At 44.6% G+C, this 20,866-nt stretch overlaps 1 protein-coding gene across 9 annotated transcripts in view; it reads left to right on the top strand.

Moving 5' to 3' along the window:
- Positions 1–20,866, top strand: part of KANTR (KANTR integral membrane protein) — a 53,780-nt gene that overhangs the window by 1,102 nt on the left and 31,812 nt on the right. For 3 of the 9 annotated variants that reach the window (NR_145974.2, NM_001397453.1, NM_001397448.1), the window contains one exon: positions 4,229–4,365. The exons of 5 other annotated variants lie outside the window; for them this stretch is intronic. The gene's annotated coding sequence lies outside the window, so the exon portion shown is untranslated. Of the gene's footprint in view, positions 1–3,507; positions 3,626–4,228; positions 4,366–20,866 lie in introns of all 9 variants that reach the window. One more of the 9 variants, NM_001397450.1, reaches the window with a different exon arrangement.

Raw genomic sequence — 20,866 nt, forward strand, 5'->3', positions numbered from 1 at the left:
CCCACAGATCTCCTGGTTATGTCTCCATACAGCCCTGGACATCCTATTTTCTATTTCCATCCTGAAATCCTTTGACCAGGCCTTAAGGAACTCACCTTCAGTTATCAGCAAAATTCCCTCCATTCTCATCCTGGCTTCTGAATACTCCCTTTATTTTCTTGCTATGCTTTGGTCGTTCTCATACCTGTTGGACCCAACATTGCTTTTTTTTTTTAATAAGGTGTATTTTGAAATGCTTCACTATTCTAAAATGAAATGGATAGAAAATAGAATCTGTCTACACCCATAATTCCCTGAAAACCAATATAATGCCCTAATTGTAATATAGAGAGTAGTAAAGGAAGAGTAATATATAATATTATATTATACATATATCGCACATATATATGCAAAGACTGGGATATGACTCCATTAGAAGACATGATGAAATGGTCTTACACTTAATGATAGTGACAGCTACATGTGTGTTGATTGGTGATTCAGAAGCCACAGGTAGAGTGACACAGTTTTCCTAAATAATGAACAATTCTTCACAAAGTTCTAAACAAAACAATGTGGAAGAGTTTCTCAGTTTATATGGTCGTTAAATTTCTGGAAAAATCAGTATATATTAATATCCATGATGAGACCCTCTTAATCTCCCTGACCTTATCTCCCACCACTCTCCCCCCTTGCTCACTCTATCTACCCATGCTGGCCACCTTACTATTACTTGAACACCTTAGGCACACTTCCGCCTCAGGGGTTTTGCATTCCGTGTATCTGGAATGCTCTTTCCTCAAATACCCACAAGGCTCAGGCCCTTGCTTCCTTCAGGCCTCTACTCAGCTGTCACTTTCTCAGAGGGCCCCCCAACCATCCTGTTTAAAATTGCAGCTCTCCCCTAATATGCCCCTGCTCTGTCTGTTCCATGGTATTCTACACCTTTTTCACAGTGTAGCATTAACTGCTTAGTATGTTTGCTGTTTATTGTCTGACTCTCCCACTCAATTATAAGCTCCAGAAGGGCAGGGATTTTTGTCTTTTTTGTTCTATGATACATTCCTATTACCTAAAATAGTGCTTGACACCTAGTAGACTTTCTCAATGAATGTTTGTTGAATGAATAAAAGAACAAATGAACAGGTTTTTCACCTACATTACTGGTGAGATATTCTAAAGTTGTATGGAATGTGGTATGATTCTTTGTGGTGTGGAGCTGTCCTGTACACTGCAGAGGGCTGAGCATCCCTGGTCCATAGCTAGGGTTGTCACTGATGATCTCCAATTATTGTCACAGTCAAAAATGCCCCCCAAACAGGGCCGGGTGTGATGGCTCACGCCTGTAATCCCAGCACTTTGGGAGGCCAAGGTGGGCAGATCGCTTGAGTCCAGGAGTTCGAGACCAGCCTGGCCAACATGATGAAACCCCGTCTCTACAAAAAATACAAAAATTAGCCGGGTGTTGTGGTGCACGCCTGTGGTCCCAGCTACTTAGGAGGCTGAGATGGGAGGATTGCTTGAGCCCAGGAGGCAGAGGTTACAGTGAGCCAGGATTGCACCACTGCACTCCAGCCTGGGTGACAGCGAGACCCTGTCTCAAAAAAAAAAGCAGTAAAAAATGGGTCGGGCACTGTGGCTCACACCTGTAATCCCAGCACTTTGGGAGGCCGAGGTGGGTGGATCACCTGAGGTCAGGAGTTCAAGACCAGCCTGGCCAACATGGTAAAACCCCGTCTCTACTAATAATACAAAAATTAGCCAGGCCCACATGGTGGCACATGCCTGTAATCCCAGCTACTCGGAAGGCTGAGGCAGGAGAATCGCTTGAACCCAGGAGGCAGGGGTTGCAGTGAGCCAGCCTGGGCAACAAGAGCGAAACTTCGTCTCAAAAAAAAGAAAAAATGCCCTGAAACACCCTTTAATTGTCCAGCCCCCACCTCTCAGTGAGAACCATTGCTTAAGTAGCAGCCTGGCTTTCCCTGAACACTCTGTCCTCCCGGCAGCCCTCTCATACCCCTCTTACCGGGAAACTGGGTGGTGAGGGTGAGGGTGGGTATGCTTGCTCCTAGTTACCCTTTCCAGACATTCTTCCTCCTCAAACAACCCTTTTTTCATTTGTTTTAAGTTTTTTTTTTTTTTTTTTTTGAGACAGAATCTCACTCTGTCACCCAGGCTAGAATGCAGTGGCACAGTCTTGGCTCACTGAAGCCTCCGCCTCCCAGGTTCAAGTGATTCTCCTGCCTCAGCTTCCAGAGTAGCTGGGACTACAGGCATGCACCACCACGCCTGGCTAATTTTTGTATTTTTAGCAGAGACAGGGTTTCACCATGTTGGCCAGGCTGGTCTTGAACTCCTAACCTCAAGTGATCCACCCGCCTTGGCCTCCCAAAGTGCTGGGATTACAGGTGTGAGCCACCAGGCCCAGCCAAGAATTTTTAAACTTAAAATAATTTCAAACTTTTAAAAAGCTTCAAAAATTATACAAGAATTCTCATATATTCTTCACTTAGATTCCCCACATGTTAAGAAATTATATAATTACAGACTGGGCGCAGTGGCTCACGCCTGTAATCCCAGCACTTTGGGAGGCCAAGGTGGGCAGATCACCTGAGGTCGGGAGTTCGAGACCAGCCTGGGCAACATAGTGAAACCCTGTCTCTACTAAAAATACAAAAATTAGCTGGGTGTGGTGGCTTGTGCCTGTAGTCCCAGCTACTTGGGAGGCTGAGGCAGGAGAATTGCTTGAACACAGGAGGCAGACGTTGCAGTGAGCTGAGATCATGCCACTGCACTCCATCCTGGGTGACACAGCGAGACTCTGTCTCAAAAAAAAAAAAAAAAAAAAGAAAGAAAGAAATTATATAATTACAGTGTAACTATCAAAACTAGAAAATTAACATTGATACATACAGGCATATCACAGGTTCAGTTCCAGACCAACACAATAAAGCAAGTCAGATGAATTTTTTGGTTTCCCAGTGCATATAAAAGTTATGTTTACACTGTACCATAGTCTATTAAGTGTACAATAGCATTGTATCAAAAAAAGTATTTACCTTAATTTAAAAATACTATATTGCTAAAAAATGCTAAAGATCATCCCAGCCTTCAGCAAGTTGTAATTTTTTGCTGGTGGAGGGTCTTACCTCGATGTTGATGGTTGCTGACTGAGCAGGGTGGTAGTTGCTGGTTGGGGTGGCTGTGGCAAATTCTTAAAATAAGATATCAATGAAGTTTGGCACGTCGACTCTTCCTTTCACAAAGGGTTTCTCTGTAGCATGTGATGCTGTTTAATAGCATTTTACCCGCAGTAGAACTTGTTTCAAAACTGGAGTCAGTTCTCTCAAACCCTGCTACTACTTTGTTAACTAAGTTTATGTAATATTCTAAATCCTTTGTTGTTGTTTCCAGTGTTCACAGCATCTTCACCAGGAGTAGATTTCATCCCAGGAAATCACTATTTTGCTCATCCATAAGAAGTAACTCCTCATCCACTAACTTTTTTTCTTTTTTTTTCTGAGACAGGGTCTTGCTCTGTCACCCAGGCTAGAGTGTAGTGGCGCGATCACGGCTCACTGCGGCCTCGACCTCCCAGGCTCAAGCAATCTTCCCACCTCAGCCTCCCAAGTAGCTGGGACTATAGGTGCATGCCACCACGCCCAGCCAATTTTTAAAATTTTGCAAAGGTGGGGTCTTGTTGTGTTGTCCAGGCTAGTCTCAAACTCCTGGCCTCAAGTAATCCTCCTGCCTCAGCCTCCGGAGTAGCTGGGACCACAGGCATGTGCCACCATGCCCAGCTATTTTTTTTTTTAATTTTTGTGGAGACAGGGTCTCACTTTGTTGCCCAGGCTCCATTAAAGGAGGGCCTGGCACAGTGGCTTATGCCTGTAATCCCAGCACTTTGGGAAGCCAAGGCGGGTGAATTGCCTAAGGTCAGGAGTTTGAGACCAGCCTGGCCAGCATGGTGAAACCTTGTCTCTACTAAATATACAGAAAAATTAGCCAGGCATGGTGGCGGACACCTGTAGTCCCAGCTATTCAGGAGACTGAGGCAGGAGAATCCCTTGAACCTGGGAGACGGAGGTTGCAGTGAGCTGAGCTCGCGCCACTGCACTCCAGCCTGAGCAACAGAGCGAGACTCCATCTCAAAAAAAAAAAGTTTGATCATGAGATGGCAGCAATTCAGTCACTTCTTCAGCCTCACATTCTAATTCTGATTCTCTCGTTATTTCTGCCATCTCTGCAGTTGCTTCCTCTACTGAAGTCTTGAAACCCCTGAAAGTCATCCCTGAGGTTTGAAGTTAACTTCTTCTACACCCTGTTAATGTTGATATTTTGACCTCCTTCCATGAATCACAAATGTTCTTAATGGCATCTAGAATGGTGAGTCCTTTCCAGAAGATTTTCAATTTACTTTTCCCGGATCCATCAGAGGAATCACTGTCTATGGCGGCTATAGCCTTATGAAATGTATTTCCTAAATAATAAGACCTGAAAGTCAATATTACTCCTTGATCCATGGGCTGCAGAATGGATGTTGTGTTAGCAGGCATGAAAACAGCATGAATCTCCTTGTACATCTCCATCAGAGCTCTTAGGTGATCAGGTGCATTTTCAATGAGCAGTAATATTTTGAATGGAATCTTTTTATCTGAGTAGCAGGTCTCAACAGTGGGCTTAAAATATTTAATAAACTATGCTATAAACAGATTTGCTATCATCCAGGCTTTGTTGCTCCATTTATAGAGCACAGAGTATATTTAGCATAGTTCTTAAGGATCCTAGGATTTTCAGAATGGTAAAATGAACACTGGCTTCAAGTTAAAAGTCACCAGCTGCCTGAGCCTCTAACAAGAGAGTCATCCTGTCTTTTGAAGCTTTGAAGCCAGGCATTGACTTCTTTCTAGCTATAAAAGTCCTAGATGGCATCTTCTCCCCATATAACGCTGTTTCAGCTACACTGAAAATCTGTTGGCCAGGTGCGGTGGCTCACGCCTGTAATCTCAGCACTTTGGGAGGCTGAGGCGGACGGATCACCTGAGGTTGGGAGTTCGAGACCAGGCTGACCAACATGGAGAAACCCTGCCTCTACTAAAAATACAAAATTGGCTGGGTGTAGTGGCGCATGCCTATAACCCCAGCTACTCGGGAGGCTGAGGCAGGAGAATCACTTGAACCTGGGAGGCAGAGGTTGCAGTGAGCTGAGATGATGCCATTGCATTCCAGCCTGGGCAATAAGAGTGAAACTCCGTCTCAAAAAAAAAAAAGAAAAGAAAAAAAAGAAAATCTGTTGGCCGGGTGCGGTGGCTCACGCCTGTAATCCCAGCACTTTGGGAGGCAGAGGCGGGCGGGTCACAAGGTCAGGAGTTTGAGACCAGTCTGGCCAACATAGTGAAACCCCGTCTCTACTAAAAGTACAAAAATTGGCTGGGCGTGGTGGCGGGCACCTGTAATCCCAGCTACTCAAGAGGCTGAGTCAGGAGAATCGGTTGAAACCCAAAGGCAGAGGTTGCAGTGAGCCGAGATCGCACCACTGCATTCCAGCCTGGGCAACAAGAGCAAAACTCCATCTCAAAAAACAAAAAGAAAAAGAAAATCTGTTGTTCACCAACTATCTTATGTAGATTTTTCTAGATAACTTCCTTGCAGCTTCTACATCAGCACTTGCAGTTTCACCTTGCACTTTTATGTTACGGAGATGGCTTCTTTCCTTAAACCTCATGAACCGACTTTTGCTAGCTTCCAACTTTTCTTCTGCAGCTTCCTCACCTTTCTCAGCCTTCATAGAATTGAAGAGAGTTAGGGCCTTGCTCTGAATTAGGCTTTGGCTTAAGGAAATGTTGTGGCTGATTTGATTGTCTAGCCAGACCACCCAAACTTTCTCCATATCCACAATAACACTGTTTCACTGTCTTATCACTCATGTGTTCGCTGGAGTAGCACTTTTAATTTCCTTCAAAAACTTTTCCTTTGCATTCACAACTTGGCTAACTGTTCGGCGCAAGAAGCCTAGCCTTCGGCCTCTCTCACCTTTCAACATGCCTTCCTCACAAAGCTTAATCATTTCCAGCCTTTGATTTAAAGTGAGAGATGTTGAAGGCCGGGCGCAATGGCCCACGACTGTAATCCCAGCACTTTGGGAGGCTGAGGCGGGAGGACTGTGTGAGCCGAGGAGTTTGAGACCAGCCTGGGCAACATGGCAAGACCCTGTCTCCAAAAAAATAAAAATAAAAAATAAAGTGATAGATGTTGAGATACTTCCTTTGACTCGAATACTTAGAAGCCATTGTGGGGTTATTAATTGGCCTAATTTCAATTTGTTATGTCTTGGATAGGGAGGCCTGAGGAGAGGGAGAGAGACAGAGGAATAGCCAGTCAGTCGAGCAGTCAGAACATACATATTTGTCAGTTCAGTTTGCCATCTTACATGGGTACAGTTCATGGTGCCCTAAAACAATTACAAATAGTTACACCAAAGATCACTGATCTAGGCGGGGTGCGGTAGCTCACGCCTGTAATCCCAGCACTTTGGGAGGCCGAGGTGGGTGGATTGCTTGACCTCAGGAGTTCAAGACCAGCGTGGGCAAGATGGTGAAACTCCATCTCTACAAAAAATACAAAAATTAAGCTGGGTGCTGTGGCGTGCGCCGCTAGTCCCAGCTACTCAGGGAGGCTGAGGCAGGAGAATCGCTTGAGCCCAGGAGGCAAAGGCTGCAGTGAGCTGAGATCACGCCACTGCACTCTAGCCTGGGTGACAGGAGTGAAACCCTGTCTCAAAAAAAAAAAAAAAAAGATCACTGATCACAGATCACCATAACAGATATAAGAAAAGTTTTGAAATGTGAAAATTACCAAAATGTAAGACAGAGACACTAAGTGAGCACATACTGTTGGAAAAATGGCACTAATAGATTTACTCAATACAACTTTGCCACAAACCTTCAATTAGTAAAAGACACAGTATCTGTGAAGTGCAGTAAAGTGCAGCACAATAAAATGAGGTATTGCCTGTACTCTTAACGAAACTACAGGGTTTATTTAGATTACATCAGTTTTTCACTAGTGCCACTTTTCTTTTCAAGGATTCAGTTCAGGCTCCCACATTACATTTAGTTATCATGCCTCCTTAGGCTCTTCCAATATGGAACAGTTCTTGAGTCTTTCTTTGTCTTTTATGATTTTGATCATTTAGAAGACTCCTGGACAGTTATTTCATAGAATTTGGGTTTGTCTCAAGTTTCACTGTGATTATATTCAAGTTATGTAATTTTGGTGAGAATACCGCAGAAGAGAAGTTATGTCTTCAGTGCTTCCTATCAGGAGGCATGTGATGTCATTTTGTCCTGATACCAGTTTTGTTGACTTTGATTCCTTGTTTAAGGTGGTGTCTGTCAGGTTTTTCCACTATAGTTCCCCTTTTTTCTTTCATGAAATATGTTGGGATTATATAAATATCAACAACCTTGTTGTAAATCTCATATCATCAGAATATACCATCAGCTACCACTCTGTATCATCATATACAGACATACACCCATATCTGCCCATCATTACCATTTCTAAATGAATTTAGCTGTGATCTCACTGTCATTCTCTTTAACACTGGTCCAGTCCTAATTCTTGGTGATTTTAATATCTTTGTAGCTGATCCTTCCAATATTTTCATCTGTCAGTTCTGTGATTTGCCACCCTACAATGATCCTGCCTTTTAACCCCACCTCAGCTACCTACTCCAATAGTCTGACCCTTGTTTTGTTTGTTTTTTTTTTTTTTTTTTGAGATGGAGTCTTACTCTGTCACCCAGGCTGGAGTGCAGTGGTGCGATCTCAGCTCACTGCAGCCTCCGCCTCCTGGGTTCAAGTGATTTTCCTGCCTCAGCCTCCAGAGTAGCTGAGATTACAGGCGCCTGCCACCACGCTCAGCTAATTTTTGTAGAGACAGCGTTTCACCATGTTGGCCAGGCTGGTCTCGAACTCCTGACCTCAAGTGATCTACCCGCCTGGGCCTCCCAAAGTGCTGGGATTACAGGTGTGACCCACTGTGCCAAGCCTGACCCTTGTCCTTGTCAGTACCTGTGACTGCATTGTTTTCATATTCTCAGTTTCAGGCATCCTGTTCTCTAGCCAGTACCTCCTATTTTTCTAGCTCACGCCTACTAGTACTCCAACTCCAGCAATCCCTCAATCCCACTGGGACTGAACATTTTCACTCCCTTTCACTTCCCCCATGCTCCTATGTCCCTCCTTTAATCAGCTTAGATTCCATGACCCACTGTTACAATCATTCCTGGGCGGACAGTCTCACTTCCCTTCGCCCTCTGCCACTTCAGCGTACTTACCATCCACTTTATCGGGCACTGCCTCAGCCCAGTTAAATCCAGCTCTCTACTTGCTCCATTGCATTTTCTATCCTACCCTCCTAGATGATGATTGTTTCCTACTTCTCTCCTGAAATCCTCAACATTTCCTCCCCTGTCCTTACACTCAGGCTTCCTACTTGACTGAAAAAATGGAAACCATTGGAATAAAACATCTGCAGATTCCCACCACCACATCCAACCACCACACAGCATCTGTATCCACATACTCTGCCTTCTTCTCTGTACTACATAAGGTGCTCCTACTGTCGTCAAAATCCAGTCTCTCCCCTTTGGCACTCCATCCCATCCTCTCTCACCTACTTGAGGACATGGTTCCACCAGTTTTCCCCTCTCTCTACAAGATCATTCTTATTAGCACACAGACATTCTATTACTTCTTCCATCTTTTCGTTGCAACTTCATTGAGATGCATGTCGCATACCATCTAATTCACCTTTTATTTATTTATTTTTGAGACAGGGTCTTACTGTATTGCCCAGGCTGGACTTGAACTCCTGGGCTCAAGTGATCCTCTGGCCTCAACTTTCTGAGTAAATTCACCCTTTTAAAGGGTACTGTTAAAATAATAATAAATATTATTATAAATAAATAAATAAAAGTATACTGTTCAGTAGTTTTATTTATTTATCTTTATTTTTTGAGACAGCCTCTCGCTCTGTCACCCAAGCTGGAGTGCAGTGGTACAATCTCGGCTCACTGCAACTTCTGTCTCCCGGGTTCAAGTGATTCTCCTGCCTCAGCCTCCCGAGTAACTGGGATTACAGGCGCACACCACCATGCCTGACTAATTTTTGTATTTTTAGTAGAGACGGGGTTTTGCCATGTTGGCCAGGGTGGTCTCAAACTCCTGACCTCAAGTGATCCACCCGCCTCGGCCTCCCAAACATGATCAATTTTAGAACATTTTCACCCCCCGACCCCCACCAAAGAAGCTTCATACTCATTAGCAGTCACTTCCCATTAGTATTCTCCCCAGTCCTAGCCACCCACTAATATACTTTCTGTATCTAGAGATTTGTCTATTCTAGATATTCCATATAAATTAGATCGTACAAGATACTGGTCTTGCTGGCTGGCTTCTTTCGCTGAGCATAATGTTTTGAGGTCCATCCATGCTGTTGCACGTATCATTCCTTCCTATTGTCAAATAATATTCTGTCATATGGATCTACCTCCGTTCCTCAGTTGGTCAGTTCAGTTGCTTTCATGTTGGCCAATATGACTAATATTTCTCTGAACGTGGAGTGGAATTGCTGTCATATGGTGGCTCTATGTTTAACTTTTTTTTTTTCTTTTTGAGACAGGGTCTCACTCTGTCACCCAGACTGGAATGCAGTGTCCCAATCTTGGCTCACTGCAACCTCCACCTCCTGGGCTCAAGTGGTCCTCCCCCTTCAGCCTCCTGAGTGGCTGGGACCATGGGCATGTGCCACCACACCTGGCTAATTTTTGTATTTTTTGTAGAGATGGGGTTTTGCCATGTTGCCCAGGCTGGTCTTGAACTCCTGGGCTCAAGAGATCTGCCCTCCTCGCCTCCCAAAGTGCTGAGATGATAGGTATGAGCCATGGTGCCCCGCCTTATGTTTTGAGGAGCTATCAAACTGTTTGCAAAAGTGGCTATGCCATTTTACAGTCCTATCAGCAGTGTATGAAGGTTCCAGTTTCTCCATATCCTCATCAACACTTTTCGTTTGTCTTTTTTATTATAGCCATCCTAGTGAGTATGAAAGTGGTGTCTCATTGTAGTTTTGATTTTCATTTCCCTAATAACTCATGATATTGAATGTCCTTTTATATGCTTGTATATCTTTGGAGAAATGTCTATTCAAATTCTTAGCCCATTTTTAATTGGATTATGTGTCTTTTTATTATTGAGTTGCAGGACTTCTTTTTTTTTTTTTGGAGACGGAGTCTCACTCTGTCATCCAGGGTGGAGTGCAGTGGTGTGATCTTGGCTTACTTCAACCTCTGCCTCCTGGGTTCAAGCAATTCTCCTGCCTCAGCCTCCTGAATAGCTGGGACTACAGGCACACAACGACACACCTGGTTAATTTTTTTTTTTTTTTTTGTATTTTAGTAGAGATGGGGTTTCCTGTGTTGCCCAGGCTGATCTCGAACTCCTGAGCTCAGGCAGTCCACCTGCCTCGGCCTCCCAAAGTGCTAAGATTACAGGCATGAGCCCCTGCACCTGGCCAGAACTTCTTTATGTATCTGGATATAAGTCCTTTGTCAGATAATATGTTTTTTTCTTTTTTTTTTTTTTTTTTTTTGAGACAGAGTCTCGCTCTGTCGCCCAGGGTGGAGTGCAGTGGCGCGATCTCGGCTCACTGCAAGCTCCGCCTCCTGGGTTCACGCCATTCTCCTGCCTCAGCCTCCCAAGTAGCTGGGACTACAGGCGCCCGCCACCATGCCCAGCTAATTTTTTGTATTTTTAGTAGAGACGGGGTTTCACCGTGTTAGCCAGGATGGTCTCGATCTCCTGACCTCGTGATCCACCCGCCTCGGCCTCCCAAAGTGCTGGGATTACAGGCGTGAGCCACCGCGCCTGGCCAGATAATATGAATTATAAATATTTTCTCCCATTCTGTGGGTTCTTTTCATTTTATTGATGGTATCTTTTAATGTACAGTAGGTTTTAATTTCAGTGATGTCCAGCTTACCTATTTTGTTGTCACTTGGGCATTTGGTGTTATATCCAATAAATCATCGCCTAAATCAGGGTGACAAAGATTTATTCCTATGTTTTCTTCTAGGAATTTTATCGTTTTAGCTCTTACATTTAGGACAGTGATCCATTTTGAGTTATTTTTGTTTCAAGACAGGGTCTCGTTCTGTCACCCAGGCTGGAGTGCAGTGGCACCATCACAGCTCACTGCAGCCTTGACCTCTTAGGCTCAAGTGATCCCCCCACCTCAGCCTCCTGAGTAGCTGACACTACAAGTGTGAGCCATCACACCCAGCTAATTTTTATATTTTTGTAGAGATGAGGTCTCTGTGTATTGCCCATGCTGGTCTCGAACTCCTGGGCTCAAGTGATCCTCTCACCTCAGCCTCCCAAAGTGCTGGGATTACAGACATACTGTACCCAGCCCATTTTGAGTTAATATTTGTGTATAGCGTGAGAGTAGGGGTACAGGTTTATTCTTCTGACATGGATATCTAGTTTTCTGAGCACCTTTTGTTGAAAAATATTCTTTTTACCATTGGATTGTCTTGACGACCTTGTCATAGACCAGGCATAGTGACACCCATCTGTAGTCCCAGCTACTAGAGAGGCTGAAGCAGGAGGATCACTTTAGCCCAGGAGTTCAGGGCCAACCTGGGCAACATAGTGACACCCCATCTCTGAAAAAAATAATTGACCATAAAACATAAACATAAAGGTTAACTTCTGGACTCTTAATTCTATTCCATTGATTTGCAGGTCTGTCACTATGCTAGACCACACTGTCTTAATTACTGTAGTTGTAGTAAGTTTTGAAGTCAAGAAGTGAGAGTCTTCCAACTTTGTTCTTTTTCAAGATTGTTTTGGCTATCCTTGCATTTTCATAGGAATTTTAGGATCAGCTTTCCAATTTCTTTCTTTTTTTTTTTCTTTTACAGATAGGATCTTTCTCTGTTGCTCAGGCTGGAGTGCAATGGTGTGATCATACTTCACTGCAGCCTTGAATTCCTGGGCTCAAGTGATCCTCTTTGCTTTTTTTTTTTTTTTTTTTTTGTAGAGACAGGGTCTTGCTTTGTAGCCCAGGCTGATATCAAATTCCTGGCTTCAACCAATCCTCCTGCCTCGTCCTCCCAAAGTGCTGGGATTACAGGCATGATCTACCAAACTCAGCAGTTTATCAATTTCTTTAAAAAAAAAAACAGCTGAAATTCTCATAGAGATTATGTTGAATCTATATATCAACTTGGGGAGTATTGCCATTTAACAATATTGTCTTCTAGTCTGTGAACTTGGGATTTATTTAGATGTTTAATTTCTTTCAGGAGTGTTTTATAGTTTTCAGTATACAAGTCTTGCAGTTCCTTTGTTAAATTTATTCCTAGGCATTTTATTCTTTTTGATACTACTTTAAAATGGGATGTTTTTTAATTTTTAAAAATTTTTAAATTAAAATAATTTTTAATTTCCTCATGCTTTTATCTCAGAGTCAGGGGTTTGTTTTCTAGAGACAAGGTCTTGCTCTGTTGCTCAAACTAGAGTGCAATGGCTCCATCATAGCCCACAGCAGCCTTGAACTCATGGGATTACAGGTGTGAACCACTGCACCTAGCTGGACTTTTTCTTTTTTTCTTTTTTCTGAGACGGAGTCTCACTCTGTCACCCAGGCTGGAGTGCAGTGGGGCGCTCTTGGCTCATTGCAACCTCCGCCTCCTGGGTTCAAGCGATTCTCCTGCCTCAGCCTCCAGAGTAGCTGGGATTATAGGCACCAGCCACTACACCCAGCTAATTTTTTGTATTTTTAGTAGAGACGGGGTTGCACCATGTTGGCCAGGCTGGTCTCAAACTCCTGACCTCATGATCTGCCCGCCTCGGCCTCCCAAAGTGCTAGGATTACAGGCGTGAGCCACCGTGCCTGGCCTTCAAATTTTTTCTTAATTTTTTTTTTTTTTGAGACAGAGTCCCACTCTGTCACCCAGGCTGGAGTGCAGTGGCGTGATCTCAGCTCACTGCAACCTCCACCTCCCGGGTTCAAGCAATTCTTGTGCCTCAGCCTCCCAAGCAGCTGGGACTACAGGTGCATACTACCACACCCAGCTAATTTTTGTATTTTTAGTAGCCATGGGGTTTTGCCATGTTGGCCAGGCTGGTCTCGAACTCCTGGCCTCAAGTAATCCACCCGACCTCAGCCTCCCAAAGTGCTGGGATTATAGGCATGAACCACTGCACCCAGCCCTTAATTTCATTTTTTGATTGTTCATTGCTAGTGCATAGAAATACAATAGATTTTTGTTTATTGATCCTCTATCATATGACATTGCTGAACTTGTTTATTAGTTCAAATAGTTTTTTGGTGGATTCCTTGGGATTTTTAAATATACAAGATCATGTTATCTCTAAATAGAGATAGTTTCACTTTTTTCTTTCCTGTCTGAATGCCTTTTTTTTTTTGAGGCAGGGTCTCGCTCTGTAACCCAGGCTGCAGCGCAGCGGTGTGATCATAGCTCACTGCAACCTCGAACTCTCGGGCTCAAGCAGTCCTCCCATCTCAGCCTCCAAAGTATGTAGGACTACAGGTGCACACCACCACACCCAGCTGATTTTTAATTTTTTTGTGGAGACAAGGGTCTCACTATGTTGTCCAGGCTGGTCTCAAACTCCTAGATTCGAGCAGTCCTTTCACTTCAGCCTCCCAAAGTGCTGGGATTACCAGCTTTGTTCTTTTTGCTCCAGATTACTTTGGCTATTTGGTGTCTTTTGTGGTTTATACAAATTTTAGTATTTTTCTGTAAAAAATGACATGGAACTTTTATAGAGATTGCATTAAATTTGTAGATCACTTTGAGTAGTGTGGACATTTAAACAATACTAATTTTTCCAATTCATGACCACAGGGTATCTTTCCATGTATTTGTATCATCTTCAGTTTCATTCATCAATGTCTTACTGTTTTCAGGGTACACGTCTTTTACCTCCTTGGTTAAATTTATTCCTAAGTTTGTTTTTTGTTGTTTTGTTTTTGTTTTTGTTTTGAGATGGAGTTTCGCTCTTGTTGCCCAGGCTGGAGTATGCAGTGGCGCGATCTCATCTCACTGCAACCTCCGCCTCCCAGTTTCAAACGATTCTCCTGCCTCAGCCTCCCGAGTAGCTGGGATTACAGATGTGTGCCACCACACCCTGCTAATTTTGTATTTTTAGTAGAGATGGGGTTTCGCCATGTTGGCCAGCCTGGCTTCAAACCCCTGACCTCAGGTGATCCACCCGCCTCGGCCTCCCAAAGTGCTGGGATTACAGGCGTGAGCCACTACACCCGGTTATTCCTAAGTATTTTACTTTTTTTCTGTAGCTATTGTAAATGGGATTGCTTTCTTGATTTCTTTTTCAGATACTTTGTTGTTAGTGTATAGAAGTGCTACTGATTTTTGTATGTTGATTTTGTATCCTGTAACTTTACTGAATTTATTTGTTCTAACGGTTTTCTTTTTTCTTTCTTTTTTTTTTTTTGGAGACAGAGTCTCACTGTATTGCCCAAGCGGGAGTGCAGTGGCATGTTCTCAGCTCACTGCACCCCCGTCTCCTGGGTTCAAGCAATTCTCATGCCTCAGCCTCCCGAGTAGCTGGGACTATAGGCATGTGCCACCATGCCTGGCTAAGTTTTATATTTTTTAGTAGAGATGGGGTTTCACCATGTTGGCCAGGGTGGTCTCGAACTCCTGGCCTCAAGCCATCTGCCAGCCCCGGCCTCCCAAAGTGCTGGGATTACAGGCATGAGCCACTGCACGCAGGCTTGTTCTAACAGTTTTTTGGTGGAGTCTTTAGTATTTTCTATATATAAGATTGTGTCGTCTGCAAATGGGAACAATTTTACTTCTTCCTGTCCAATTTGGGTGCCTTTTATTTCTTTCTCTTGACTTATTCCTCTGGCTGGAACTTCTAGTATCCTGTAGAATAGAGTTCCTCATCTTAAAGGAAAGGCTTTCAACTTTTCACCATTGAGTATGATGGTAGCTGTGGGTTTGTTATATATGGTATTTATTACGTTGAGGTACATTTCTCCTATGTCTAGTTTTTTGAGTTTTTATCATGAAGGGATGTTGAATTTTGCCAAATGCTTTTTCTGCATCTATTGACATATGGTTTTTGTCCTTCATTCTGCTAATTTGCATGTGTTGAACCAACCTTGCATCCTTGTGATAAATCCTACTCGATCATAGTAAATGATCCATTTAATGTACTGTTAAATATGGTTTCCAGTACTTTGTTGAGGATTTTTGCTTCTCTGTTCATCAGGGATATTGGCTTGTAATTTTCTTTTCCTCTAGTGTCATTGTCTGGCTTTGGTATCGGGGTAATGCTGGCCTCATAAAGAGTTTGGGGCCGGGCGCCGTGGCTCACGCCTGTAATCCCAGCACTTTGGGAGGCCAAGGCAGGTGGATCACAAGGTCAGGAGTTTGAGACCAGCCTGACCAACATGGTGAAACCCCATCTCTACTAAAAATACAAAAATTAGCCGGGCGTGGTGGCATGCACCTGTAATCCCAGCTACTCAGGAGGCTGAGGCAGGAGAATTGCTTGAATCCAGGAGGCGGAGATTGCAATGAGCCGAGATTGCGCCACTGCACTCCAGCCTGAGTGACAGAGCGAGACTCTGTCTCAAAAAAAAAAAGAGTTTGGAAGTATGCCTTCTTCTTCAGTTTTTTGGAAGAGTTTGAGAATGACTGATATTACTTCTTTATTTTATAAATTTTATTTATTTATTTATTTTTGAGACAGAGTCTTGCTCTGTCACCTAGGCTGGAGTGCAGTGGTGCAATCACAGCCCACCGCCTCAACCTCCTGGGCTTAAGCAGTCCTACCACCTCAGCCTCCTGAATAGCTGCAACTAGAGGCATGCAACGACCACACCCGGCTAAGTTTAAAATTTTTTTTTGTAGAGATGGGGTCTTGCTATGTTGCCCAGGCTGGTCTCAAACTCCTGCCTTGAACTCAAGCAGTCCTCCTGCCTCGGCCTCCTAAAGTGCTAGGAGTACAGGCCTGAGCCACCACACCCAGCCTAAAACATCTTGTAACTGGCTATTTTAAGCTGGTAACAACTTAACTTTGAGTGCATTAAAAAACTCTACACTTTGGCTCCACCCCCTCACCACATTTTATGGTTTTGATGGTATAATTTATTTCTTTTTATAATGTGTTATCTGTTAACAAATTATTGTAGATATTATTTTAATAATTTTACCTCTTAACCTTTATACTACATGTATAAGCAATCTACACACCACCATTACAGTATTATAGTATTCTGAATTTGACTGTATACTTACTTTTACCAGTGAGTTTTATACTTTCATATGTTTTCGTGTTACTAATTAGCATTCTTTTCTTGCAGCTTGAAAAACTCTCTTTAGCACAGAGGTGTCCAAGGGAACGAATACAGTCATGAGTTCTTAGTTTCTGTTTCTGGTTGAGCCAGTTAAGCCCCTTCCTCATCCCTCTTTTCTGCTTATCACTAGATACAGAAACTAAAAACCGTGGCTTCAGGCTGCTAAAAACTTAAAACAAAACAGAACAACAACAACAAAATAAGGCGGGTTAGACAAGCTAACTTCAGCATTTCTTGTAAGACAGATCTGGTGGCAATGAACTCCCTCAGCTTTTGTTTGTCTTGGAAAGTCTCTTGTCTCTCCTTCATTTCTTGTTTTTTAATTATTTTTTTTTAATTTCAGTTGGTTTTTGGGGAACAGGTGGTGGTTGGTTACATGGGTAAATTCTTTAGTGGTGAATTCTGAGATTTTGGTGTACCCATCACCCAAGCAGTATACACTATACCCAATGTGTAGTCTTTTATCCCTCACCCCCTCCCACCCGTTCCCCCAAGTCCCCAAAGTCCATTGTGTCATTCTTATTGCCTTTGCATCCTCATAGCTTAGCTCCCACTTATGATTGAGAACATACAATGTTTGGTTTTCCATTCCTGAGTTACTTCACTTAAAATAATGGTCTCCGATTCCATCCAGGTTGCTGCGAATGCCATTATTTCATTCCTTTTTATGGCTGAGTAGTATTCCATGGTGTATATATTACCACAGTTTCCTTATCCACTCGTTAACTGATGGGCATTTGGGCTGGTGCCATGTTTTTGCAGGTGTGAATTGTGCTGCTATAAACATGCGTGTGCAAGTGTCTTTTTCGTATAATGACTTTTCCTCTCCATTTCTAAAGGGCAGCTTTGCTGGTACAGTCTTTTTGATTGGAAGGTTTTTTCCTTCAGCACACTGAATAGATCATTTCACTTTTTCATGGCCTGTAAGGTCTCTGCTGAGAAATCTGCTGCTAGCCTTATTAGAACTCCTGTACCTGTTATTTGCTTCTTTTCTCTTCCTGCTTTCAAGGATCCTCTGCTTGTCCTTGATTTTTGACAGTTTGATTCTATGTTTCTGTATAGTCTTGTTTGCATTCAATTTGATTGGAGAACTTTGACCTATGCCTGGATATTTTGTATCTTTCTCCAAACTTGGAAAGCTTTCTGCTATTACTTTTTAAAGTAAGCTTTCTGTTCCTTTGTCTTTTTCTTCTCCTTCATGAACTCTGTAATTCAAAAATTTGCTCTTTTGAAGCTATCCTGTAAATCCCATAAGCTGTCTTATTTCTTTTTCATTTTTCCCCCTATGACTGTATATTTTCAAATCTGTCTTCAGGTTCACAGATTCTTTTTTCTGCTTGATCAGTTCTGAGTGGGATATCCCACTCAGGGGATATCAACAGAGTACCTTGTGAGCATGAGATGATTATAATTATGAACTTTAACAAGACTTTATCTTTGACCTTTTGGCGATCTTCTTCTTGCCCATGGGCAGCTGTCATTTGCGGGGATAGCAGTCAATTCCAGCCATCAGAGCGTGGCTGTAGGGGAAGATTGAGGTGCCCTTATCAACGTTCTTCATGGTGACAGCTTTGTGTCCAGAGTAGCATTCAGCCAGGACCAGCACCACTTTCCCAGGTTTCATGAACTTGCCCAAGCCTATAGCAACCAACCAAGCCTATAGCAGAAAACACACACACAAAAAAAAACCCTAATTTTTAAAATAATTTCAATCTCTCTGTTAAATGTTTCATTTTATTCATTTTTTCATGATATCATTGAATTGTCCCTGCATATTTTCTTGAAGTTCTGAGCTTCCTTTATATAATTACTTTGAATTCTTTGTAAGCCACTTCATACGTCTCTTCTTTGTAGGGTCAGTTACTGGTGCTTTCTTTTGTTCCTTTGGTGGTGGTGTGTTTCCCTTTCCCTGATTGTTCTTTTTTTTTTTTTTTTTTTTTTGAGGTGGAGTCTCGCTCTGTCACCCACCCACTCCAGGCTGGAGTGCAGTGGCGCGATCTCGGCTCACTGCAACCTCTGGCTCCTGGGTTGAAGCTATTCTCATGCCTCAGCCTCCCGAGTAGCTGGGATTACAGGCGCATGCCACCATGCCCAGCTAATTTTTGTATTTTTAGTAGAGATGGGGGTTTCACCATGTTGATCAGGCTGGTCTCGAACTCCTGACCTCAAGTGATCTGCCTGCCTCAGCCTCCCAAAGTGCTGGGATTACAGATGTGAGCCACTGCACCCAGTCGATTGTACTTTTTAAAAACAAAACAAAATTTATTTTGAGACAGAGTCTCACTCTGTCACCCAGGCTGGAGTGCAGTGGCATGATCTCAGCTCACTGCAACCTCTGCCTCCCAGTCTCAAGTGACCCTCCTGCCTCAGCCTTCCAAGTAACTGGGACCACAGACATGTGCCACTACATCCAGCTAATTTTTTTGTATTTTTTGTAGAGACGGGGTTTCGCCATGTTGCCCAGGCTGGTCTCAAACTCCTGAGCTCAAGCAATCCACCTGCCTGCCTCGGCCTCCCAAGGTGTTGGGATTACAGGCGTGAGCCACCGCACCAGGTTAAAAAAATTTTTTCCTTAAAAAATAGAGACAGGGTCTGGCTATGTTGCCCAGGCTGTTCTCAAACTCCTCGGCTCAAGCAGTCTGCCCGCCTCGGCCTCCCAGAGTGCTCGGGATTATAGGCCTGAGCCACCGTGCTTGGCCTCCCTGATTGTTCTTGATCCTTGTGGCTGTGCATTGGTGTCTGCACATCTGAAGACGTGAAAACTCATTCTAGTCTTTGCAGACTGCCTTTGTCTGGGAAAGCCCCTCACCAGTCAGCCTGTCCAGAGATTCTGGACTGGCCATCTGGCATGTTCTGTGGGCAGGCTTGCTGCTGGAGTCCTCAGGCAGGCTGGTCTGGTGTCTGGGTCAGCAGGTAGGTGGACCCGATGTCTGGGTCCATGGGGTTTGGCCTGGAGCCTGGATCCAAACAGATGGGCCTGTTGATTGGGTATGTGAAGGTGGGCCTGGAGCCTGGGTCCACAAAAGCACAGCTGGTTCCTGGATCTGCGGGAGCCAACTTCATGTCTGGGTCTACAGGGGCTGACATGGTGCTGAGGTGGACCTGAAGCCTAAATCTGCATGTCAAGCCTGGGTTCTGGGTCCATGGGGGCTGGCCTGGATCCTGGGTCTGCAAGGGTGGTCCTGGAGCCTCAGTCCACAGGAGTTGGTTTGGCACCAAAGCTTACTAGGGTGGGCCTGAACCCTGGGTCAGCTAGAGCCTTTGGCCATGAGGACCACCCTGGAGCCTGGGAACTGTGTGGTGCTGGGGCCGGTGTGGAGCCTGGATTCTCTAGGCCCAGCCCAGTACTGGGATCTACTGGGATGGGCCTGGACCCTGGGTCTGTTGGAGCATGGGGCTGCAGGGACCAGCCTGAAGGGTGGGGCCACAGAGATCAGCCCACCACTGGGCAGGCCTAGAGTCTGTGTCTGTGTGTGCCAGCCTGGTACTTGAATCTAGAAGTGCTCTCCTGGTGTCGGGGCAGGCCTGCGGCCTAGGGCTGTGTAGGTCAACCTGGTTCTGGGCTGGGCTGGAACCTAAGGTGGGCCTGGAGCCTGGGACCACATGGCCTGGCCTGGCACTGGGTGGGCCTGGAGCCTGTGTCCACAAGGTCTTGCTGGATGCTGGTCTGCAGGTGCTGGCCTAATGACTAGTGCTGTGGAGGCTGGCCTGGTGCTGGGGTGGGCCTGAAACCTGGGGCCGGGGGGGCCAGCCCCATGCTGGGGATGGTCTGGGACCCACGGCCACCTGGGCTGGCCTGGCCCTGGAACAAGCCTGGTACCTGAGTCTATGGGGGCTAGCCTGGCACTGGGGTGGGTCTGGAGACTGAGACTGCCAGGCAGGCCTGGAGTGCGAGGCAGTGGAATCTGGTCTGGTGCTGGGGCAGGCCTGGAGGCTCGGTCTGCAGGTACCAGCCTAGAGGCTTGGGCTGTGGGTGCCTGCCCAGTGCTGGGTTTGACTGGGGCAGCCCTAGTGTTGGAGTCCAAGGGAAAGCCCAGTGCTTACTTCCTTTCTCTTCCCTGAAAAAAGTATCTCTTTTCCCACTGCACTGCCTGGGGTTGGGGGAGGGGTGGCATGGATAGTGTGTAACTTTTTTTCCTACCCTCTTCAATGTATCTTTTCTTATTTCCGTGCTACACCCAGGTGCTGTCAACTCTCACCTGGTTTCCTTAGCTCTGGTGAAGTATTTTCGTGTATGGATTGTTTTTCAAATTGATGTTTCTGTTGGGGAATGAGCACTGGAAAGTCCTGCTCTGCCATCTTGCTGCCATCTGGACTCCCAAGGTTTGTTGTTGGTCTGTTTTTGTTTTTGTTGCTGTCATAGTTCTTTTTCTTGTTGCTGTTTGTTTGTTCAGTGACTTTTCTGAACTCATTTTGTGGATTTGGTCTCCCCCTGCATTATGTGGCCTCTGAGTTCCTGCTA

This window comes from Homo sapiens, chromosome X (genome assembly GCF_000001405.40).
Source record: "Homo sapiens chromosome X, GRCh38.p14 Primary Assembly".
NCBI classification, from domain to species: Eukaryota; Metazoa; Chordata; class Mammalia; order Primates; family Hominidae; genus Homo; species Homo sapiens.